The sequence below is a fragment of the Homo sapiens genome, chromosome 5 (assembly GCF_000001405.40).
Source record: "Homo sapiens chromosome 5, GRCh38.p14 Primary Assembly".
Taxonomy (NCBI): Eukaryota; Metazoa; Chordata; class Mammalia; order Primates; family Hominidae; genus Homo; species Homo sapiens.
The window spans coordinates 83,206,050-83,232,924 of NC_000005.10; the positions used below are offsets into that span (position 1 = coordinate 83,206,050).

General features: G+C 34.3%; 1 protein-coding gene across 13 annotated transcripts in view; it reads left to right on the forward strand.

The window, feature by feature from the left end:
* XRCC4 (X-ray repair cross complementing 4) overlaps positions 1-26,875 on the forward strand; it is a 296,927-nt gene that overhangs the window by 128,503 nt on the left and 141,549 nt on the right. The window contains exon 7 of one of the 13 annotated variants that reach the window (XM_047417698.1): positions 4,631-4,706. The exons of the other annotated variants lie outside the window; for them this stretch is intronic. Coding sequence (XP_047273654.1) covers positions 4,631-4,671 — 41 coding nt within the window. The 3' untranslated portion in view covers positions 4,672-4,706. The remainder of the gene's footprint in view (positions 1-4,630; positions 4,707-26,875) is intronic. 13 annotated transcript variants of the gene reach the window in all.

Here is a 26,875-nt window from a genome sequence, read left to right on the forward strand (position 1 = left end):
GATGGGACCTCATCACGTGTAGGGCGATATAGGCTACCATTAGAACTTCTCCTGTTACTTTGAATTAACTTGGAAACTACTGAAGGATTTTAAACAGTCAGGTGACATAATCTGACTCAAATTTCAAGAGGATTAGTCTGTGTATTGTGTTAAGAATAGACTATAGGATGACAAATGCAGAAGAAGATATAACAGATGGGAAGCTAGTACAACAATTCGGTGAAGGATGAGGCTGGCTTAGACCAGAGTGATGGAGAGGCGATGAGCAAGGAGCAGATTCTAGGTGTGCTTAGAGGCAGCAGGATTTGCTGATGAAGGGGTTATGACTGAGCAAATAAGACTGAGAAGGAGCAGCCAGGAGGTAAGAGGCAAAAATATAAATGTGGTATCCTGCTGATTGATGGATTTAGCAATACAAACGTTATTAAGGATCTTAATAGAACATATTCACTGGATTGGTGAAGGAAGGGGATAGGAGAGAATAGGAGTTTCAAAGGGAATGGGAGGAGAGAACTGGAGATGAGACAGGCAATACTTTCAACAAATTTCACTGTAAAAAATGGGAAAGACATGGGGCGGCAGCTGGAGGAGGAAGTAGGATAAAGAAAAGTATTTTTGTTTGTTGTTTTTAAATAAAAGAAAGAATATGTTTGTATACTGATGAGAGTAACTAAAGAGAGCAGGTAAAACCATCAAGGCAGTAGACAGAGGAAAAACTACTGGAAATCTGTCTCTAAAAATATAAGTGGATGGGATCCAAGGGACAAGTAGTAGATTAGTTTAGCCAGGAGCATAGTCACTCCCCATAATGACAGGAGAAAAGGTAGAATAAACAGATGAAGGCACAGGAAAGTATCTAACTGCAGTCACAGAAACTTATTAACATTGATTAAACTGGTTGATTCATCTGATTCTAATCAGATTTGAATTGGATTACACAATACACACACAATCATACTTTTGCACTTGGGAATGAAATTTCTTTTCACTTGGCAGTTATGCTTGTTTTACCCTAGTGTCCCATTTAAAATGAAATTATTATTTAATAATCAAATAGAGAAAAACTTACAAAGATAATTTGTACTCTTTCCAGTTTAAACTTTCAGAATTTTTATTAAATACAATGACCTTTGGTCTTGTTTCTTAGTCAGAGTATCTTACCAATATTTGAAGTAGGTGAAAATTATTGATGAGAAAATACGTGGTTAAATATGGCTATATGAGAAAGAGGACTTTTATGTGTTCAGTCTATTTTAAGTAAAACTTTAAGCTACAATTGTACTATTTTCAATTTGGCAAAATTCTCCTTTCTCTTCAGAAATGTTTAGTTTATTTCATGTTCTTTCTCTATTTTACGTGTCTTTATTTCTTTAGCCCACATCTAGTTCATTACACATATGATCTATAGGTCTCTGTTTTTATTTTTTATTTTTGCATTTAACTTGCTTTTAGTAAGTTTTCGATGTCAAGAATTAATAGCATAATAGAACTTTACCCTTTTTCTTCTGCTGCAAAAAGAAATGTTTAGGAAACAGATGCTGACTGAAATAGAAAAATAAATCTCATCTCAAATGCTTGACACTGAATCAAGAACTAGATTTCATAGATCTGAGAAAGAAAATTGTAGATGTTAAACAACAAAATGGGCCACCCTATAATTTACCAGTTTCCACAATTAATTCTTCTACAGAGACAAAATATGTTTTTAGTCCATGAGAGATAATTCTGTTGAACACAGCTTTCTCTTTTTGGTACTCTATGTAGTATTACTATGTTTTTTGAGGCAGAGCAGTGAGAATTTCTTCCTGATCTTATTCTGCCATCTTGATAATAAATTACTTGCTCTTTGAATACAAATAAATTTGTGAATTTATTTTAGATATTGCAATTTCCTGTGTGCTTTTCCTACAATAAAAACAAGAAAAAGAGAATCTGATGGGGATTAATACATTTATTCAGACTTTCAGAAAGCTGTCTTTAAGTGGCTGAATATATAATTTGGTAGTTATTTTGTTATAGTAAATGGATTTTTATCATTAATTATTAAAATGCCCAAATTTCATCTGGAGTTGTTCACATTATTACCCAATTTCTTGATGATAAAATAGAGGTTTAGTGAGATCAGGATCATTTAGTAATACGAAGATGAATATGTTAATCTGAATCTGAGTATGGTAAATTTGAATTGGATTACACAATAGGCATACAATCATACTTTTGTAAATGGGAATGAAATTTCTTTTCATTTGGTAGTTATGCTTGTTTTTACCTTACTGTCCCATTTAAATGAAATTATTCTTTAATAATCAAATGTAGAAATATTCACAAAGATGGTATGGTAATTCATTCACAAATATGAAATGGCAAATTCATATTTACCGTATTCACTCTAGGGAAAAGTCTGGTTACTTTTATGCATATATCCAGAAGTAGAGTAGGGGTATTACAATTTGAAGGAAATTGTTAAGTTACATTTTTATGAATACGCAATCAATTTATGGCTTTTTTTCCTCTAAATTTTCATATTTTCCCACTGCCATTAGGATTACTGAGGAAATAACTAATGATAATGTAGATCAGTCTAATAAACCACATCATGCTCATATGTACTGTATGATGTAGCATGAAAAACCTCAAAAAATACTCATTTTCTTGGCTAAAAGGAAATCCCCAAAGTATTCTGAAACTTGAATATCACAGTCAATATCACCGCATACTACATTTTATATTTTTCCATAGCAAGATTTACTTTTACTATGTCTTGGATTTTAGAATTTCCAGATAGATAGTGATTGTATTACTGACTTTATTTCTTAAGCTATGGCTGCATACTAAGGCCCTGGATTTTATAGGTATTTCACTTTGTTTTATATTAAGATTATGATAAATATAATAGTTGCTGTAGTCTCTATTTGTAGCTCAAGCTTTGGACTAGAAAAGTAGGGATCACTTTCACCCCTATCTAGTTGGTATTAAGTACTTGTGGCCTTAAAGATTTCCTGCTTAGTCTGGACTCCTCCTGCCTCCAAAGTGAGTGTGTGTGTGTGTGTGTGTGTGTGTGTGTGTGTGTGTGAATTTAATAGAAATCTGTTGGGTTATTATAGATACTGTGAAACAGTCTTCCCTATAAGAAACTCTTTTTCTTTCCAAATCAAGGTAAAACACGATGTCCCTATCTAAGGAGAAACATTGTTAAACTATGTCCACTAAATAACAGAACCTCAACAAAATATGTAGTGATAGAAGCACCATTATGTATAGCATTAGAGCCAAAATCTGCAACACCACCACATGCAATTGGCCTTTTATTTGCCCCAACCATATCAGATATAATCTAAGAACAGTTTCGCATTGTGCAGTTTTAAAATATTGCTTCAGAACCATTTTCATGCTGTGATAACAGAATTGTATGTGAAAACAATTTTAAAATATATATGAATATTCTAAGAATTTTAGCCATTATGAAACATTTCTTAGTCTTAACATAATTCAAAAAGCATGCAAATATTTAGTGGAAAATTTGAATTTATATGATAGAGTTAGGATTTTTCTTGTGAAACATTTTGAAAAGCTATGCTTAATTGGCTCCTAATTAGTTAGCTATCATAAGGCTAATGATTTTAATTCCTCACTAATTATTTTAATATATAATCAGTATTTCAAAATTATAGTTATTTCTATGAATAGAGTTGACAATATTTATTACAATTATAGGATAATTAAGAGCATTACTAAAATACAAATAAGAAATCTTTTCTAGAATGTTTCACTCTTTTTAGCTGCATATTAAAGGTGCACAACCACTAAAAACAAATATAATAAGCTTTCCTACCACTTTTCTACATAATTACTAGCCCAAGATTTAGCACATTAGTTTAATTAATCCTGCTTCTTAACCAACAGGAAGGTCCCTGTATAACTGCTATCAGTAATTTAGGCTTTCACTTAGTTGGTAGGCTTCCTGAAAGGAAGTGTGATTATAGAATAGCCTTTTTGAAAATAAATGAATGGCTATGTCCAACAGTTGATGAATACTGATATAGTAGCTTTTAAAAATAGAACAGAATCCAATATTTTTAAGTATCAAAGGGCTTGTTGCTTCAAACAGTGAATGTCTACTCACAGAGGGGATAACAACATGTACTGCCAAAGAGATTACTCAGAAACTCAGCTTTAGAATAACAGATTATGCTCTTAGTCTTGCCCAGCTTGTTTATCATAGACACATTTATTTATAAGTTTTAAATTAAAAGCTTGATTTAGTTAAACCTACCACCAAACTGGAAAAGAAATTTAAGTGTATTTCCTAGCAATAGTGGGCTTTTATACATAACCATTGTTGCTAGGAATAACGTTATATGCTTTGGAAATCTAGACTGTATAGTTCTAGATCCTGTTATTTAAGCTCATTGTTTTTCCAGTGAGGGAACAGAGGCCTAGAAAGATTAAGTACGTTACTTTTGGTTACACAGGGGAAAATAATGAAAAGTATTTGCCTTGTAATATAATAATTAACCACATTAGCACGTCTACTCTTGAAATATTATAAAAACCCTTGCAAATTTTCTAACAATGAGGAAATTGCCACTGATACAAGAGAATAATGGGAACACTTTTTTCTCCTATATAGAAAAAAGATCCTATTTGTACATACATTCTCAAGAAAGATAGTCAACGTCATCAGATTGAACAAGTAAGACTTCATGGTAGGTAGCTTGTGGAGAAACTAATAGAATGCACATATTTCTGTTGAAGTCATCCCTGTGTATATTAATTTCTTCAGATTTTGACTTAGTATTTATTCACCTGAGAACTCTCAAATGTCCCAAAGGTTGTTAGCAAATCTATGATGGTTTCTTATTTCCTAGTACTAAAATATAACTTTGATATGACCTCCTAGGCAAGTATCTCTACATCTTTATATGTTTGGGGGGAGACAAAAATTATTTTAATGTTATTTGTCTCTGACTATGGATGAGTGAGAAAACAGGCAAATCCTTTACCCCCAAATCAACTATGAATCTAAAATTGACCCAAAAATAAGCAAATAAGTACTTCCAAACATGGCCAAAGGCAAACAGCAATATGAGAACTGTTTATTCTTGAAAAACTGCTGAAGTTTGGGTAAGAACTGGGAGTCTGTGGATTTCTTGCTTGCCTAAGACTGCCTCTATCACTGCCTGCCCACATTCATGAGTTTGGTCAGTATGAAAGTTATGCCAGCATCTGGCTGGCCATGAGGACTGGCAACTGCTGTACCTGAGCTAAAGAGGGCTCACTCAATTTGCAGCAGAGGGTGATACTCACAACCAGCAGCATTGTCAGTAGAAGTAATGATCTTGGTGTCAGTGGGTAGGTGTGTTAGGCCAATGGATCTACTAACCTGGTTGTGCTCATGGTTGGGGTAAACATATTCCTAGCTGAAAGTGTGCATGCACTTTTGCAGTAGAGACTGAAGAGAGGGCCCAAGCTATTTTTACAGTTCTGGCCTAACCTAGAGATAATACATATCTTCATAGGAGAATAGAAAAAGAGAGGCTAGACTTTCAACATACTCCTGTTCCTGCCACCGCCCCTCCCCCAACAAAAGAAAAGAAACCTATTAGCTTGAGGTGTTTGTGCATTATTTCTATCAATTACTGGCTGACGTCAAAACTGTCTAGACACAGAGTAACCCATTTGGAGCTAGGCTTTAAAATTTAAAAATCAAGAATAAAATAAACTGTGCAGAAACATCAATTGTCACACATCACAAGAGAAACAGATTTCATACATTTACCACAGGTAAGTTAATAAACAAACAAAAAGCAACAGTAGCAAACTTCAGAAGGAAAATAGTCAAAACCCAAAGTTGTTACAATATATTATTTAAAATGTTTAGTTTTCAACAAATTGGACATACAGAGAAACAGGAAAGTGTGGTCCATACTTGGGGGAAAAAAGTAGTCAATAGAAAATGTTTCAGATGTTGAATTTGGTAGACAGACTTCAAAGCACAGTTTATATCTATATCTGTATCTATATATATATACACACATACACACATATGTATGTTTATGTGTATATGTATATATACACATATGTATGTGTGTATATATACACACACACACATTTATATACTAAACTAAACAAAAACATGTTTAAAGCCCTAAAGGAGAGTACGATATAAATGTATCAACAAGTAAAGATTCTCAATAAGGAGATAGAAATTATTTGAAATGAACAATATGAAAATTCTGAATTTGAAGAGTGTAATAACTGAAATGAGAAAGTTACTATAGCAGTTGAACAACAGATTCAAATTGTCAGAATAAAAAAAAATCAGTGAACCTGAATATAGATCAATAGAGTGAATAATTTCCTAGGAATGAAGAGCAAAAAAGATGGAAGAGAAATGAACAGATCTTCAGAGACTTTTGGGACATCACATGTGCCAACATATGTGTAATGTATATTCTGGGACAAAAGAGAGAGAAAGGTAGAAAAAAAATACTTGAAAAAATGAAAGCCAAAGCTTTCCAAAATTTTATGAAAACCATTAGTCTAAACATCCAAGCAACTCAGTAAACTTTAAGTGAGATAAATACCAAAAGATAGGCTGGGCATGGTGGCTCACACCTGTAATCCTAGCGCTTTGGGAGGCTGAGGCAGGCAGAACACCCGAGGTCAGGAGTTCGAGACTGACCTGGCCAACATGGTGAAACCCCGTCTCTATAAAAATTCAAAAATTAGCTGGGCATGGTGGCACGTGCCTGTAATCCCAGTTAGTTGGAAGGCTGAGGCAGGAGAATCTCTTGAACCAGAGAGGTGGAGGTTGCAGTGAGTCAAGATCATGCCACTGCACTCCAGCCTGGGAGACAGAATGAGATTCCATCTAAAAAAAAAAAAAAAACACCAAAATAAAAAAAAAAAACAAAAAGATACATTGAGACACATATACGTAGAAAACATTTGAAATCCATAGAGGGAGACACTTATAGGACAGCATCAATATAACAACAGACATTATCTGAAGCAATGAAGGACAGAAGGCAGCGGTATAGCATTTACAAAATTCTGAAAGAACAAAAAAAGAAATCATAACCAATAGTTTTATATCCAGCAAAGTATCTTTCAAAATAAAGACGAAATAAAGACATTTATTAATTAACAGATTCATTGGTAACAGACCTGTTTTGTGACGCATATTAAGAAATCTTCAGGGTGAAAGGAAACAACATGAAATGATAACATGAATCTACAGGAAGAAATAAAAATAATAAAAAATGTAAAATAGTGGATTAATAGAAAATATAAATACATATTTTCTTTTTTATTATTGTCTTTTATGCCAGATTGAACAAAGGAATAATTACAACACTGTGACATTGGGTTTATAATATAGATAGATACAATATACATGACAATAATAGGACAAATTGGATAATATAGCTATATGAGAGCAAAATTTCTATATTTGCCACATATAAAGATATTATTAATATGAAATAGATTATTAAGTAAATGTATTGAATTAGTAATTTAAGATATTTCCACAAAGAAAACCCTGGGCCCAGATGACTTCACTGGTGTTTTCTATTGAAAATTTAATGAAATTATACCAATTCCTTATAAACTCTTTCAGAAAATAGAGGAGGAGCGAACACTTCCCAACTCATTTTGTGAGGCCGATATTATCATAATATCAAAGCCAGACAAGACATTGCAAGAAAATAAAACTATAGACAAATATCCATCATGAACATAGATATAAACATTTGAAACAAAACACTAGCAAAAAGCAACCAGCTCCATACAGAAAGAATTATACACTATGACCAACTGAGATTCATTCCTCTTATGTAAAGATACTTTTGCATCTGAAAATCAGTTAAAGTATTTCACAATGATAAAATAAAGCACAAAACCACCTGATCATCTCAATAGATGCTGAAAAGGTACGTGACAAAATCCAACACACATTAATAACAAACACTCTCAACAAACCAGGAATATGAGGTAACTTCCTTAACCTAATAAAGGCATCTAGGCAAAAGACCACAGCTGTCACATACTTAATGGTGAAATACTGAATGTTTACCCCTCAATATAGGAAAAAAACAAGGTTGTCTGCTCCCATCACTTCTATTCAGTGTTGCACTAGAAATTCTAGGCAGGGCAATTAGGCAAGAAAATAAGATAAAAGGTATTCAGATTGGAAAAGAAGTAAAACTTCCTTTTTGCAGATGATATGATCTAGTGTATAGGAACACTACGGAATTCACTAAAAAACTCTTAGAGCTAATAAATTGACTCCAGTAAGGTTACAGTGTACAAGATCAATATACAGTAATCAGTTGTATTTCTATATGCTTGCAATGCATAAGCAAAAAATGAAATAAGAAAATTGCTCCTGGCCATGGTGGTGTATTCCTATAATCCCAGAAACTCATGATGCCAAGGAGTTTGAGGCCAGCCTGGGCAACATAGTTGAGACACCCATCTTTAAAAAATAAGGAATTGGCCAGGCACGGTGGCTCACCCCTGTAATCCCAGCACTTTGGGAGGCCGAGGTGGGCAGATCACAAGGTCAGGAGATTGAGACCATCCTGGCTAACACGGTGAAACCCCATCTCTACTAAACAAAAAATACAAAAAATTAGCCGGGCATCGTGTGGGCGCCTGTAGTCCCAGCTACTCGGGAGGCTGAGGCAGGGAGAATGGCGTGAACTTGGGAGGCAGAGCTTGCAATGAGCCGAGATCGCGCCACTGCAATCCAGCCTGGGCGACAGAGCAAGACTCCTTCTCAAAAAAAAAAAATAATAATAATAAAAATACAGAATAAAGAAATTAAGGAAAAGAATTGCCTTCACAATAGCATCAAAAAATACCTAGAAATAAGTCTAACAAAAGAAATTCAAGACTCCTACACTGAGAACTATGCAACATTGTTGAGAGAAATTAAAGAAGACTTAAGTAAATGGGAAAACATCTTATATTTATAGATTAGAAATTTAGTATTGTTGGCCGGGTGTAATGGCCTACACCTGTAATCCTAGCACTTTGGGAAGCTGATGCGGGCAGATCATTTGAGCTCAGCAGTTTGAGACCAACCTGGGCAATATGGCAAAACTCCATCTCTACAAAAAATACAAAAAAACTTAGCCAGGCATAGTGGAGCATGCCTATAGTCCCAGCTAGTTGGGAGGCTGAGACAGGAGGATTGCTTGAGCCTGGGAGGCAGAGGTTACGGTGAGCCAAGATCACACCACTGCAGTCCAGCCTGGGTGACAGAGCGAGACCCTGTCTCAAAAAAAACAAAAAAATTAATATTGTTAAGATAAATACTTTCAAATTGGTACATAGATTCAGTGAGATGCCTATCAAAATCCCAGCTGGTTTTTTAGCAAAAATTGACAGAATGATCCTAAAACTTATATAGAATTTCAAGCAAGCAAGAGTAGACAAAACAATCTTGGAAAACAAGAAATAATTGGAGAACTCTTTCTGATTTCAAAAGTTACTACAAAGATATAATAACCAAGATGATGTAATATTATTATTATAAAGATAGTCATTATATCAGACATAGTCTCACTGATAAAATGAGAATCTAGAATTGAGACTGTAGAAGTAAGCCTTCATGTTTACGGTCAATTGGTCCTCAGCACAGCTGCGAAGACAATTTAGTGGGGAAAGGATAGTCTTTTAGACAAACAGTGCTTGGACAATTGGGTATCGACTTGAAAAACAGTTACACAGGTGTTTACCTCATATGAAACACAAAAATTAACTCAAAATGGATCATAGGCCTATATATAATAGCTAAACCTATTAAAGAAAACAGAAAATCTCTGTGAACTTAGTTTTAGGCAAAGAGTTCTCAACTATAATATCAAAAGCACAATACATAAATGAAAAAATTGATAAATTGGATTTCGTCAAAATAAAAAAAATTCTGCACTTCAAAAAGGTATCATTAAGAACATGAAAACACATGCCATGAATTGGGAGAAAATATTTGCAAATCACATATCTGATAAGGGATTTGTTTCTAGCATATATAAAGAATATTTACAACTCAATAATAAGAAAATAAACAACTGGGTCAAAAAATTTGCAAAAGACTTGAATAGGCATTTCATTGAAGAAGATATAAGAATTGTTAATAATCACATGAACAGATGCTTAACATCATTTAATCATTAGATAATACAAATTACAGTTAAAATCAGATACCACTACACACCTACCTGAATGGATATAATCTAAAAGTTAGAAAATAATGTGTAGGAAAGGATGTGGCAAAACTTGAATCCTCATACATTTCTGGTGGGAATGTAAAATGTTACAACCACTTTAGAAAACTGTTTGGCAGTTCCTCAAAAAGTAAAATACATACTTACCCTATAACCTAGCTATTCTACTTCTAAGTCTTTACTGAAGAGAAATAAGAACATACGTCCTCATAAAGACATATACTTGACTGTTCATCAGAGCATTAGTAATAATAACTCCAAACTGGAAAATTCTGAATGTTCATCTTCTGGTGAAACGTTAAATAAAATGTGGTCTATCCATACAATAAAGTATTATTTGGCAATATAAAGGAGTAAACTACTGATAGATACTTATTGTGGATGAGCCTCAAAAAAATTATGCTAAAGCAAAGGGAACCAGATGCAAAGGTTGTTTATTGTATGATCCTATTTATATCTAATATCAAGAAAAAGGGAATATATATAGGTACTGAAAACCGATTAAATGTTTGCTAAAGCTTGGAGTGGAAATGATGATTAATTCAAATGAGCCCAAGAGAATTTTTGGACATGATGGAACTGTCCTAAAACTGATTGAGGTGATCGTTGTACAAGTATAAATTGCTAAAATCATTGAATTGTACACTTATACTGGGTGAATGTTATGGTGTATCAATTGTTCATTAATAAAAACTTTCTAAGAGTTTCTTTCTAAAAAAAAAAATAAGCATTTGATCATCTTGAGATATTTCAAAACACACACACACACACCCCAAAAACCAATTGTGAGGTCGGGTAGCTCACACCTGTAATTCCAGTGCATTGGGAGGACAAGGCGGGCAGATCACCTGAGGCCAGGAGTTCAAGACCAGCCTGGCCAACATGGTGAAACCCCGTCTCTACTAAAAACACACAAAAAATTAGCCAGGCATGGTGGCGTATGCCTGTAGTCCCAGCTACTTGGGAAGCTGAGTCAGGAGAATTGCTCAAACCTGGGAGGCAGAGGTTGCAGTGAGCCAAGATCACTCCACTGCACTCTAGCCGGGGCAGCGCAGAGCAAGACTCCGTCTCAAAAAAAAAAAAAAAAAAACCATTGCGATAATTTGAGCTGTTCAGAAAAATTCTTGTACATCCTAGGTCAAGAAAGCCAGAGTTCAAAAGTGCAAGTTTCATTCAAGAGTAAATTAATCCGGAGGGTAATGAAATACAAGTATACTTCTTGTTTTTCTATTCTTATTAGTATTATTTTCTGTTCTTATTGCTTTGATAAATCCCTAATATTTTCATAAATCACTGGAGCTATTGAAGAATGAAGTAGAGCTGAACCTCAGCACAAGGATGCAGATGTCAGCAGAATTCTGTAGCCTGTGTAACTCTTACCTGAAGTTTTTACTATACTCAACTTCAATGAATGCCTTCTCTCTCAGTGTATTTTTGTTGGTGTCTGCCTTCCCTCCTGCCCTTTCTCTCTAATTCTTACATTCAAATCCCAAGGGAAGTGGCTTAAGGGTGTCTTCAATGAGAATAGAACATCTTGTAGGTATAACACTTGTTCTGCCACCCATAAGACTGCTAGCCAGCCTGCTACTTGGTTGCATTTTTGCTGTTTTGCTCCAAGTATCTGTGACCAGGATTGCATAAAGTATAGCAATTTGACATTAACTTGTGTCATCTATAAGCTGTTTCAGTGGGCAAAATATATATGAGAAAAAGTATGTGGTCGCTTATTTAACTTAAACATTTAGTTTCTTGAACTTCTCAGTCTTTACCTTTTTTATATATATATATATATTTATTAGATTTTAAGTTCTAGGGTACATGTGCACAACGTGCAGGTTTGTTACATATGTATACATGTGCCATGTTGGTGTGCTGCACCCATTAACTCATCATTTACATTAGGTAGATCTACTAATGCTATCCCTCCCCCCTCCCCCCACCCCACAACTTCTCAGTCTTTAATATGCTAATTAATATGCATGGTGATAAAGATGGTACATACTCTGCAACATTTCTCAAACTCATAAAACTTTATGAACTTTTTTCAGTGGATATTAGTGTTCCCTGCAACCTATGTGAGAAATCCTGTGTTAGATGGTTTCGACTTTCATATGAATGAGGTGAGAAAAGGGAAGGTATCTAAAGAAAACAGGTATTTCCTAGGACAGTGTTTGTATGTCTGTTTTAAGAGGACATGTACTAAATATGAGGAGAGGATCATATATTTGAGGATACAGTTTTAAAATGTAGCATAAAATCATAAGAATAATATTAAACCTCAAACATGCAAAAACTTGGAGGAATTCTGAAAATGGTTAAAAAACGATGTTTTGTTTTGTTTTTTTACCATTGTTGTAAATGGTAAAAACATTCTCAGATCTCAGACTACTCTGAGAATTTACTTATCTTAGCACAAATGTCTGTTGGCATAACTAATGTTAATAGATGACAGAAACAATACACAAATGCTACTTAATTTGGTTTATTTTGCCTCAAGTTGAGTTCTTAACTTGTGGTTTTTAAGAAGTGTTTAGTGAAAGGATATCTGAACTCTTTGGATTTATGTGTAAAATTTTCTATGTTTATCTGTCTATATATCTATTTGTATATCTATATGAATATGTTAGTTTGCCAGGGCTGCTGCTGTAACAAAGTACATAACTGAGTGACTTGAACAACAGAAATATATTTACTCACATTCTGGAGGCTAGGATCCTGAAATTGAGATGTTGGCAGGGTTAATTTCTTCTGAGGGCTTTGAGGGAATGATTTATTAACCAGGCCTCTCTCCTTGGCTTATAGGCAACCAGCTTCTCCCTGTTACATCAAATTTTCTTCCTTCTATACCTATCTCTGTTCAAATTACCCTTTTTATAAGGGTACCAGTCATATTGGATTAGGGCTCACCCTAATGACCTCATTTTAACTTTATTACCTCTGTAAATACCCTACATCCAAATAAGGTTGCATTCTTAGGTCCTGGGAGTTCAGACTGCAAAATATCTTTTTTTGGGTGTGTTGGGGGGTGAGGGGGATTTCCACCCATAACAATGCCAATAGGTCTATATCTTTCTGAAGCAAGGATCCAAATCAAGATGTTGGCTGGGTTGCTGTTTTCAAAAGGGACCATATTCCAAAAATGATTCCAAACCATTGATCTAAGAGACTGATATTTAAACTAGAAAGAATGGAGTAAGACTTGTTAAAAGGGAACTGAAGTCTACAATAGACGAGATGATGAGATAAGAAGAGAAAGTAACAGCATTCAAACAGATAGCTAAATCACTGTCTGTCTGTGCATTAGATTGGAGGTTTGTTTAGAGCTGCAGTGTTCAGTAAGGTTGCCACTAGCTACATGAGGCCATTGAAGATAGAAATGTGGCTAGTCCAAATTGAGATGTGCTGTAAATGTATACTACACACTGGATTTCGAAAACCTGCTATGACTAAGTATGAAAAAAGGAATGTAGTATGTCTCATTAATAAATGTTTATATTATACGTTGAAATTGTATTTTGAGTATATTTAGTTAAACACGTATTAATATCAACATATTCTTTTTCTTTTTCCTTTTTAAATGTGGCTAAATAGGAAATTTAAAATTTTATATGAAATATATATATTCAACATAGTCATCTTGAGGTTCTCAAGTTTTATCTCATGCTGATTTTGTGGTTCTAGAATAGATTTATATTACTTTGAAGAGGAAATCAAATTGTACTAACAAGTCTTTATGGAGCACTTAATATGAGGGTCTTTAGGTCATGAGATCTAACGACCCATGTATGACTAGGATTGTGGGTATAATTGAGTATTTTTACCTAAGAAAGGCAAAAGGTATTGTACTTTACTACAATTAATCAATTTTTTTGATTAATTATAGTAAAACTGACTTAAGAATGCGTGGATCATTTATTTGTTTGTCCCAGGAACGTGAAGCTAGACGTGTTCATTGTCCCTGTTAAACAGCAAACCATGACTGAGTTCAGACAAAAGGTGATGTGAATGCAGCAACAATTTCTAAATCAGTTAAATGTCTATAATATAATATGTAGGATTCTTGTCTTTCTGGGATTGTGACTGGAATCTCTACCACAAACAGCACATCTGGTCCCCTGAGCCAATTCATCAGCATCGCCTGTAAGCCATATTTAAGATCAAAAGGATAGACAAGGTTACCAATGATGAGGTTCTGGAATGTTGCCAGCGCATCAGCACTAACATGATACTTGCCACGACTTAACTCTGAGGGCCTGGGGATGTGTGAAGGATGGATATCAGCAGGCTCTCTAAGCAGATTCTGAATGCATGGTGTGGTGAAACAGAACAGTTACAAGTATGGTGGCCAGAAGAAAAGCTCAATGTGAGACCCTTAGTGGCAAATTCAAGCCTTGTGGTAAAACTCAGGAATGCTGAGAAATAGTAAACCTAGTTAACACCCAGGATTTTTTGAGGAGAGAGAGAAAGGATATAATTTGGGGAGTGACAAAATAAAAAAGATCTTAGGTACTGATGGTCACATTGCTTTTCGAGCTATATTATCTTTTAATTTAAATGAATAATTTGGACAAAATCAGAAGTTGTAAATTGTTGATCCTTTCTGCGAACTAAGCTACATATTTTCTTTCTTTTTCGGTGACATCAGTGTTTTAAATAATTGATACAAATGCATTTAAACAGGGCATTGGTTTCCTGATTTTCTGTAATCTGCAACCCTCCTTATTGTCTTAGATCTGGCTCACATTGTTTATTCTTATCACTTGCATAACTTCTAGAAGTATTTGTGACCCTTGGAGGAAGATAATGATACTGATGATAATGAGTACTGCTGCTGTACTAGTATTCTAATTCTCCTACTAACAATTATTGTTACTACTATTCACTACTACTTCTACTTTTTGAATTACTGTTATTTTTTATTATGGCATCACTACCACAACTGCTACAGACTCATTAATTTAGACACCTAAATTATTTAAGCACTATTTCATTTAACTTAACAATTCTATGAGGTATATACTATTATTATCACCCATTACAACTGAAAGAACTGATGCACATAAAGGTTAGAGAACTTCCTAAGGGTAAGCTGTCTAGTAATTTGTAGAGTTAGAGTTCTAACCCAAGCAGTCTGATTACAGAGCTCATCTGTGAGAGCCCTCCTATCCTAAAGTTCTTTATGTTTTTTGAAATAGAACACTCTAATTTATTAAAATCCTGTAGTTGAGTGTGGCTTTGTATTTTAAATTCAATTATATTCCATGCCTTCATTTTAATAAAATAATTTAGAGCTCCTTAAAAGAGGTGAAATATATTATTTCTTTCTCATCTTAATGGAAGAAGAGAAGGTGCTTTTTTGGTGGTTCTGTTACAATTTGATGGCAGAGCAAATAAAGCAGGAGAACAGTGATTTATGCTCAGTCCTAGATTAAAGGGCTTGTGTTAAAAGGTTATTAAGTATTTATTTAATAAATACTACATTTAATATTAATAATATTAAATGTCCATTTAGACATTAAAATAATAGATTTAGTTTTAAATGTAGCCTTATATACTATTAATGTTTTATTTAGTGGATATAAATTTAGAATTGTTATAGCTTATTGGTGAATTGACTTTTTTATAGTTATGAAATATCTCTCGTTATCTTTCGTAATGCTTCTTTCCTTAACATCTTCTTTATCTGATAGTAGTATAACTACCCCAACTTTCTTTTCTTTGGTGTTTACATGGTTTATCTTTTAATTTTTTTTACCATTATTCTTTCAATCTTTTATATATCTGAGATCGGTCTTTGTGTCAACATCATATAGTTGTTTTTTAAATCTGATAATCTTTGTATTTTGATTGGAGTATTTATTCCATTTACAGTTCATGAAGTTAATTATATAATTTATATATTTTAGGTTAGATCTACTAAGATTCTATTTGTTCTTTATTTTAACTATTCCAACTTTCTTCATTATTTCTTGTAGATTGTTATGATTTTGTTCTAGTGGTCACTCTACAGATGGCAACATATCCGTGATTTATTACAGTCTAATATAAATTTTCACTTTCACACTTTTTAAAACAACACTTCAGTGCATTATTGCATTGTTAGCTTGTATTTAAATTTGCCTTATATTTTTAGACCTCATAAAACATTGTTATTGTAGTTTGGATAGTCAGCATTATGTATATCTGTCCACATCTTTATCTTTTACCTTGTGCATTATCCCTTTTTGTTCATATGTGTTTTTATGTGGAATTCTTTTTCATCAGCCTGGAGAACCCTCATTTTCTTCTTAATTTCTTTATTGGCCAAATTCAGGAACATGTTGTTTAATTTTCATGCATTTGTACAGTTCACAGAGTTTTTCCTGTTATTAATTTCTAATTTTATTTCATCGTGGTCAGAAAATATATTTGATACAATTTTAGATGTTTGTGTTTTTTTGTTTTTGTTTTTGCTTTTTTGTACTTTTTGTTTTGTTTTGAGACAGGGTCTCACTTTACCACCCAGGCTTGAGTGGAGTGGTGCGATCACGGCTCACCACAGCCTCGACTTCCCTGGCTCAAGTGATCCTCCCATCTCAGCCTTCCAAGTAGCTGGGACTATAGGTGTGTGCCACAACACCTGGCTAATTTTTGTAGTTTTTGTAGAGATGAGATTTTGCCATGTTGCTTAGGCTGGTCTTGAGTTCCTGAGTTCAAGCAATGTACCTGCCTTGGCCTCCCAAAATGCTGGGATTACAGGTGTGAGCCTTCGTGCCTGGCAGATGATTTTACTTTTGAAAAATTTGTTGAGACTTGTTTTGTGGTCTAACGTGTCATCTATCCTGGAAGATATTCCATGTTCTGATGAGAAGAATGTGTATTCTGCAGCTGTTGGGTGAAATGTTCTGTAAATGTCAAGTCTATTTGGTCTAAAATGTAGTTTAACTCAGATGTTACTGTGTTTGGTTTTTGGCCTATTTTTGAATGTGGGGTTTTGAAGTTCCCTATTATTATCATATTGTCATCTATCCTTTTCAGGATACAGTTCTATTTCTTTCTATTCAAAGGAGTCTATTCAATCTCCTTTTCAGTCTATTAATATTTGCTCTATATATTTGGGTGCTGTGGTGTTGGGTGCAGATATAACAATTGTTATATCCTCTTGCTGAATTGACTTCTTAATCATTATATAATTACCTCCATTGTTGCTTTTTGCAGTTTTTTTGTTTTGTTTTGTTTTACCTAAAGTTTATTGTATCTGATATAAGTATAGCTACTTTGCTCCTGGTTTTGGTCACCATTTGAATGGAATTTTTTTTTTTTCATCAACCCTCTTTCAGTCTGTATGACCTTACAGATGAAGTGAGTCTATTGTAGGTAGACTTGGGTCTTGTTTTTTGCTTTGTTTTGTTTTTTGTTTTTTGTTTTATTATACTTTAAGTTCTAGGGTACATGTGTACAACGTACAGGTTTGTTACATATGTATACATGTGCCATGCTGGTGTGCTGCACCCATTAACTCGTCATTTACATTAGTTGTATCTCCTAATGCTATCCCTCCCCCCTCCCCCCACCCCATGACAGGCCCCAGTGTGTGATGTTCCCCTTCCTGTGGTCCTTGTGATAGTTTGCTGAGAATGATGGTTTCCAGCTTCATCCATGTCCCTACAAAGGACATGAACTCATCCTTTTTTATGGCTGCATAGTATTCTATGGTGTATATGTGCCACATTTTCTTCATCCAGTCTATCATTGATGGACATTTGGGTTGGTTCCAAGTCTTTGCTTATTGTGAATAGCGTTTTTTAAAATCCATTTAGCCATTCTTTTAACTGGAGAATTTAGTCTATTTACATTGTAGATTATTATTGATAGGTATGGAGTTATTTCTGCAATTTTGTTTATTATTTTCTAGTGTTTTTTTTGTGGATAATTCGTTCCCTTCTTCCTTTGTGCTTTGATAGCTTTCTATAGTAGAGTGCTTTTTATTCTTTTCTGTTTCTCTTTTGTATATTTATTATAGTCTTTTGTTTTGTGGTTACCCTAAGGTTTGCATAAAACATCTTATACTTCTAACAGTTTACTTTAAGCTGGTAGCAGCTTAATTTTGATTACATACACAAACGACACTGTTGCTCTCCCTCTTTATATGTTTTATGTTTTTGATGTCACACTTTATATGTTTTTATAATATGCATCCCTTAGCAAATCATTGTAGTTTTAGTTGTTCTTAGTAGTTTTGGCTTTTGACCTTTATACTGGAGATATAATTGATTTATCCAGCGGCACTATAGCATTAGAGTGTTTTGAATTTGACAGTGTACTTAATTTTACCAATGAATTTTGTACTTTTAAATGTTTTTAAGTTACTAATTAGTGTCCTCTTTCTTATGCTTGAAGAACTTCTTTAGCCTTTTTTGTAATGCGTGGTGATAAACTCTCTCAGCTTTGGTTTCTCTGAGAAAGTTTTCATCACCTCTTCATTGTTGAATTCCTCTGCGGAATTATTCAATTCAGATATAGCACTCTTCAGATGTATGATTTCCATGTGGCACTTTAAAAAAAACTTTCTGTCTCTTCATTGAAATTCTCAGCTTGTTCTTGCATTACTATTGCCACTTCTATGAGCATCTTTCAACCATTATTTTGAATTCCCTGTCAGATAAATCACAAAACACTACTTTATTTAGGTTAGTTTCTGGAGATTTATCTTGTTTATTTGTTTGGAATATATTCCCTTGTTTCTTCATTCTCCTTGAATATCTGTGTTGATTTATGCACACTTGATAAGACAACTACCTCTCTCCTTCTTGTTAGACTGGTCTTATATATGAGAATGTTTTCATGAACCCATTTGGACAGAGATTTTAAGGTTCCTCTCAAATCTTTGTGTTTGTCCAAACTGTTATCGCTGTTTTTGGTGAGCCCCTGAAGCTTATTATGTGCCTTGTCTGGTCAGTACCTGGAGACCAATGTAATAGGAGCCAGACTCTTAAGTTGTAGCTGTTATGGTTGGGGTGTTGAATGTGTGTTCTAGTTCCTTCTATCTTCATGATGCGGCTGGGTGTGGGCATTTACTTTTTACTTTTTCTGTACTGGGACAGGGAGAGGAACTATGGAAAATGCCCATTCTCATGTTCATGCTGTACCTTTTGATCCAAAAGGGATAGCTGCTGGAAGTGGGCTTATTATATGTCCACCTGCTTGTTTTCTGTGTTCTCCGGTTATTTAGGATCACAAAGCCCCCTTGACTTTCATGGCTAAGTTGTTAAGGAGACAGTCCCTTAGGTAGGAGCTATGGAGGTTGTGGAGCTTGGTGCATCGCCAAATTTATTCCAGAAAAAAAAAAAAAAAAAAAAAGGATAGGCCTGGATTTATCTCTGGGGTGAGCTGGAGGAATGTTGCATGAAGTGAACTCTGGTTTCAGCTTCCAAAAGGCTATTATTGTTTGCCCTGTTAATTCCCCACTGTAAGTTCATTGGAAACCAGGCTATCAATTAGCCACTGGAGATGTGTGCCTAAGCCTCTGCTACGAGATAGTGAGAGCTGCATGTTCCTGCCCCATTTCTGCACTGCTCTGAGTGGGTCTAGGCCCTGGAAATGTTTGAATGCCTGTTAAAAATCACCTCTTTTTTCTTTGGTCAAGGGAGACTCTTATATGCCTCTGCTCTCAGAGCTAGTAGGTTTAGGGTGGAGTCCTTCTGCAGATAGCTCTAAAAACTGGGGCTTTTAATGTGTGTCCGAAACCTCTTCGGGGGATAAACAGGGATCTGCATTTTTTTAAAGCCTCTTCTTTGTACCACTCCAGGGGATGAAGTCCCTGGAGGTGCTCGTGTGCCCACTTAAAAGTGCTTCTTTTTACTATGGTCTAGAGAGATATATGTGCTAGTTCCCTCTGCTTTTGGAGCTAGGAGATTTAGGATGCAGTTCCTTAGGTAGATGTTGTAAGAGCTGCGGTGCTTGGTGTGAGTACAGACACTTTCTAGGCTGGCAGCAGTTTATTAATTGACTTTCCCATTAATTCCTTGATACTAAGTTAGTCAGAAACCAGGTTAGTAGGTAGACCCTCGAGTTGTGTTTCATAAACCCCTCTGGGGCTGGAGGGAGGGTGGAAAGAGAGCATCATACGTTTCTTTTTAAGTCCTTTTTCTATACTGGCCCAAGGGGTTTGAAGTTCCTGGAAGTGCTTGTGTGCCCAAATAAAACTACAGCCTTTTCCATTACATATAGGTGTCTTTCTAGATACACAGGTCTACTCCCCTCTGCTCCCATAGTTGGTGAATTTAAAGCCAAACTATGGGGAAATTTAGGATTAGGGCCCTCTATGTGGGATCCAGACCCTCCTCTCTAAAAGGAGAAGCTGGATGTTGGGGATTTCTTTCCCAGTTTTATGGTACACTGCCTGGGATAGGATCTGTGCCCGAATTTATCTCAGCTTTTTCTATTCATTAAATGTAGATGTTTTCTCAGTTGCTCAGTAGGCTGAAAGTCTTTCAGTTGGTCTCTGACTTCCTCTCAGAGGTAACTGATCTGTAGACAGATGTTTATTCGGTGCATTTGAATCAGGAGTTTCCTATTCCACCATGTTTCTGACATTACTCTGGCTTGGTGTCTTTTGTCAGCTTTAGAAAAGTATTGGTCATTGTTTTTTCAAATATTGATTCTATCCTGCTCTTTGTCTTTTCATTTTCTGGGAATTTCATTACATGTATATTAGACTTTTCCCTGTATTAGAGTTTTTCACTTTTCCCTGTGTTAGAGTTTTTCTCATGTTCTTTTGCATAATTTCAATTCACTTTTAGTTCTCTGTGCTTTAGGCTAAATATTTTCTGGTGATATACTTTATTTATTAAAATTCTTAGTTTTTGTTCTTTACCCATTTCCCTTTTATATTGTAAATCAGTTAGGGATGTATTTTTATCTACTGTGTAAATATGTTTCTCTCCACTCCGTTGTCAGATACTTAAACGTAGTATTCCCTCATTGCACCTAGTTCATTCAGTGTCTTGAAAGTAACAGGAATGCTGTAATTTTTTAAACTACTTAAATTAATGAATACAATTTATATCTATGCCTCATATTGTTTGCTGATGGACGATTATGTAATATACCTTGAAAGTACATTACTGCATTGGTTATACATTTTGACATATACAAAAATGCCCAAACTAGTGTTGAACATGTTGTAGTTATATACTAAACAGGACTATAATAAACTATTGATATAATTAGGAAATAGTTGTCTGAAATTATCTACGTGATTTTTACTGGTTAACACTCTGCTTCATGAAACCCATTTTCAAGATCGTTATCTAAAGGTAGTTGTTAGCTTGTTCTCCGGTTGGTATTATTTCAGCTGCAAGTAACTAACACTCAATTATAGGTAATAATAAAGATTTTATTATCTCACATAACAAGTTTGAACATGAAGGATTTTCATAGTTGGATAATTCATTATCTCTATAATGTCATCATGCACTCAAGTTCTTTTTCTATTCTGTTCTACTCAGGCTTTTTCTCTCATGAGAAAAAAATGTAACATTGCAGACATTCTTGAAGCTCATATTCATCATAGGTTTATACAGATTTCTTCTCAGGGATTCGTAAAGAATTATCCCACTTGTGATAATCCTGAAACCATCACTTGTAGGGAGGATAGCGTACCTTCAGTGACTTCCTTAGACAAATGAAGGTGTCCTCTCTGAGAATGAACAAAAATGGTTTTCTTTAAGGGGAGGAGGAATGTCCTCTGGCTAGACTTGGAAAAAAGTAAAACCAAGGGTAATTCCCTGAAAAACTTCTATTTTCTGTACCAGTGTCATGCTTGGAAAATTGTTGATTAACCAAGTAATGTCTTAGGAAAGAAACTAGGTATCTATATTTTAAAACTATGCATTTCCTTTATTTATTAAAATGTTATTTATTTAGTTTTCATCCTGTGACAATATAAATAACATATAACAATCTTTACAATAAAGTAAATTCATTTTTTCAAAATTTTGAATGTATGTGGTAGACTAAACTTTGATTTCAAATCGAATTTTCACATTGTGATACTACTTTTACATAAGGCATCTAGATTATGAATTACTTGCAGGAAAAACCATGTGTCCTTGTGCCTCCAGAGTTTCTTTCTAGGGTCCCACTTGTGTAAAGGTTTTAATGAGGTAGATTTAGATCTCTAAGCCAACACTTGAAAAAGAATGAATATTTTCAAGAATTACTATTATAAGTTCAGTACTGCTCAGTTCATGAAAAATTTGAGTTCACACCTAGGATTTTAAAAGTTGGCCATTAATTAATGATTATTCATTTACAATGGTCACCCAGGTCTCTAAACATTATTTTGAAGATTGTTGTGTTTCTTTATTTGCACTTAAACAAAAATACCATCTGATAGTTACATGCAACATGTAAACCTTGGTGGTAAATTTTATTCACTAAAAAAACAATTATTCCATTATGTTCTAAACTTAGGTAGAGTGTACCGGATACTGATTTCAAGTAGAAACTCACTTTACCAGTTTTGGCAACATTTTCTTCCATAAGGCCCTTAGTGATATCCCGCTTTCCTTTTTATTTTAAACATTGTACTGTCTCCTTTTTCGATTAAGAAGTAATCAGAGGTGATGCTCCTTACGATCCCTGTATCTGCAATATAGAATCTCTGTGTGTCAATAATGGCCAAATATTGGCACTATCATGTGTTTCAACCTAATATTTATAGTTCCTGTGGTGCAGAGAAACAGGACCCAGTTCCATTTGGAGACTTGTTGAATGCGGGTTAGCATCATAACTAACTCCTACCAAAAGACGAATAAAATGAACAGAAACAACTCTAGAATTTAAACGCTATAGACTTTCCACTTCTCTTGATATAAAGTTCCACTACTTATTACTGGAGGTAGTTTTTGTGGTATTGGCAAGGAACTGGAAATGGTTTGTGATATGAACAACAAAAAATTGTGTGAGCTGGACTTGAGTTTTGGGGCACTGATGTATGCCATGATCCTCTCAGGCATTGTGCTGGCAGGTATTATGATGACTGCAAGGTACATTAACTAACATGATGCCAGTCAGCCTGAACTCTTTCTTTAATATATCGCCTTGGCAATCCTAAGATGATTAAAATTTCTGCAGCCAGTAACAGTGACAGTGGTGATGGAGGATCAGGGATGGTATCTAGTATTGTTAACTCAAAGACCAATGACGGGTTGTGAAGAAGATGCTATCCACCCTGCTCTGAATGCATTTCCAGTGGTTCTTATTTTGGGGGGAAAAAAAGGTTAAAATTGAGTAGAAATAGGAAGATAAATTTGAACTAGAGAAATATCTTCAGAGAAATTATGCTCATTCCATTAAAACTTTATTCCAGGAGACAAAATGTTTAAACTTTTTTTTTTTTTTTTTTTTTTGCTAAAGATGACTTTTATGACCAAATACATTTGGAAAACACCGAGTTAATAAAAACTAAACAGGTTTATTCTAAACTGTTTGGTCTTTAATATGGTAGTTGATATGCAGTTTCAGTCTCATTAAATACTGCATGCACCATTTTGCACAGTTGAATGTTTGCATTATTAGAAAGTTAATTTATTTTCAACAGATCATGAGATTATTGAAAATTAAATAAAGTGTGAAACAATATTTGATATATTTTACTTTTTAATTTGTGCTTCTATACTAGAATTAATTTTGTTGATATTAAATTATGTCTCCAATAAACAGTGTCTACTGAAATAGAGGCCCCCTTCCATTGCTCTGTGCATTTATCTTTTCTGTCTATTTTATCTTTTCTTTTTATTGGTTATTCTCTTCCATAGTAACATTTGCAGCATGTTTGATTTGGAAGTGCAGCATTCTGAAGTTAGGTAATATATTTTACCATAACAATTTTAATGGTTTCAAGTTACAAGAGATTTAAAAGATAATAAGCAATTTTACCTCTCCTAATAAACTTTTGCCCCTTTCTTATTAAGAAACAAATTTCAAAGACTAATTAATGTGATCTTCCTTTTGAAAAATCTGAAGGTTGTTTTTCAAGATTTTTCAACTACATAGCAAACCTACACAGGCGTTCTATCTCTGATATATTATCACATAGCTTTCCAAAGTGAAAGAAAATTAGGCTTTGCCACCACTGGAATCCACACTCACGTAAATAATTTCTTTATGGCATGATATGTGTGAAGTATTATGTAGTTATCATTTCTGTTACAAAGGAGATTGTAAATAATGAATTATTTCTTTTTAAAATTTAATTTTTTTAACTGACAGTCTTTCTTTTATGCTTTTTTACAACTTAAACAAAAATAGCATCTGATAGTTACATGGAGAGCTTCCTATAGACATGCTGTCAGTTGGAAAGCATTTATATTCAAAAACAAGTTTTTATAGCATATGTTACAAGGAGTGTGATTGGCACCTAGGTCCCTTGGCAACTCAGAATAAGAAATGAATTGATTTATAAACATAAATGAAGATGGTGCACTTTATTAACATCTCTCTATTCATTTCATGTTTATGTAGGGGCCAAAAATTAAAAACTTTAACTAAATCTATGTTCTCTTGTAGAAGAAAAATGTGACATCTCTTGAACTACTAGTTCTTTGTAATTCTAAACAGGAAAAATTACCCTCTTATAAGAATTCATTTTTTTTTTGCATAGGGTTGCTCGTGTCTTATGCTGCCTGCTTGTTTAAAACTCACGTAAATGATTACAGCCCACTGAAGGTAGAAGTCATACTTCTGATTTCAGTGTCAGGATTATGAAAGTAAAATACGTAAAATACATGTCTGTAAGGAGAGGCAGCATAGCCTATTTTAGTGGAAAAGATTTAGACTGTGAGCTGAGAGCTCATGTCTAATCTTCTGTTTATTATTATGAATAATGATACTCATCTTTTTCCTATATGTCAGGCAGGGATTCTGGAAGCTGTATATATGTGAAAGTATTTGCATCCTATGGAGCACACAGACTAGTATTATTCTTACCAATGTTGCTCATTACAGTAGGAATTTAAAGATCCCAGAGAACTTTTAGATTCCATTTTCTGGGTTTCCCATATTTCATATTTTTGTTTTCTGTGTTCTAAAAGGCAGTTGAGTTTATTTAGCGTTAATTCTGCATCACCAAGCCCAGTGCTGTGCACACAGTAGGATTTTTAATGTTTGTTTATCAAGTGGTGAATGAATGCTTTGCAGTACAACTGAATAATTGAGACAAATACAGTAAATGGAGTTTAAGTTGAATGATTCTTTTTAAATCATTTTATCTGCCATGTTTAAATACCATTAGTAAAATGTTGACACATTTGGACTCTTATCGTTATTATCTGGCATAACATCAGGACTACCTAAGAGTTTATTTTAGCACTGTCACATTGCTAAACAAAGCTCATCAGTTATTACTTTAATTTGGCACAATTTCCTACCTATTTCAGAAGGATAAAGTATGGTTTATGCTAGTTGTTTGTCTCCAACCTTCATAACACTTATTTAAACATTGCGTTATATCCAAATTAGCCTAAAAAGACTCCATTCATTCACTGTTCTTTGGCTGGTGTGCCCCTTACTCACTGATTCATTGACTGTGGTTGATTATAAACTGCCAGTGAGATCCATTTCTATGGATTTGTCATTTGTTACAGTTTAAATGCATCACAATTCCCTCTGCTATTGGACTTTATAATGTGTAATACGGTGTTTTTAATGACCTTCCCTGCAAAATACACTCCCTTGATCTCAGGTCAGCCTAGTTTAAATCTGTTTTGTTGGACATTACCCCCAAGAAAATTTGTGTCCCTCGTTATTCTTCTCTTTCCATGAAACCATATCCTGCAATATTTTGAAAGCCAGAGTGCAAAATAATTGTGTCTCTATAAAATATTTTCAGAAAGATAAACAGCCACAATATTTTACATTAGCCTCTTCACCAAAATCACCTTTTACAAAAATTTTCTTCATTCCTAATAAATCGTGTAAAGTTCCACAAAGCCACCCTTTTAGTTAGTTGTGTACTGGCCTGTTTGTGAACCCCTTAAGAAAAAGGATAAAACCACTTTTGCTTCCCACCATCATCACAGTTCTTTATACTTAACAACTTTAAAGAGCAGCCAACAATTTTCATCAAATCAAATTGCCCTAATACTTCCATAAAAGATTTATAAAAAATTATTTCTGGGACTGCTCCACAAAGGTCTTTAGGAAGACTGTTGCTTAAAGCCAAAAAACTACAAGAGCAGGAGCATAGCTGTCTTGCAGTTTTCAGACCAAGTAAAAGAGTAGGCATTAGAGCATTGAGACTTTCACCTGAAACTGCTTGTTTAGTTTGTGATGAAGAACTAAATACTGTGAAATTTTGTCCAAATTCTTCTAGATATCCTCCTATCTCTCTTCCAAAAAAATATCTAAATTAGGATGACTGGATCATTGTCATTAAATCTTGTTCAAGAGCAAAGCTATTAAATCTTGTAAATTTCTGGTCAAAAAAAATAATGGGAAAGTGAACTAACATTGACTTTATGCTGTTATTTTGAGATTCTGTGCAGCTAGTTGCTTTATATAATTTATCTCATTTCATCTTGACCACAATTAATATTAGGCCTTCATGGCTCTCATTTCAAGAAAGGTTAAGTAATTCGTGCAAGGTTACACAA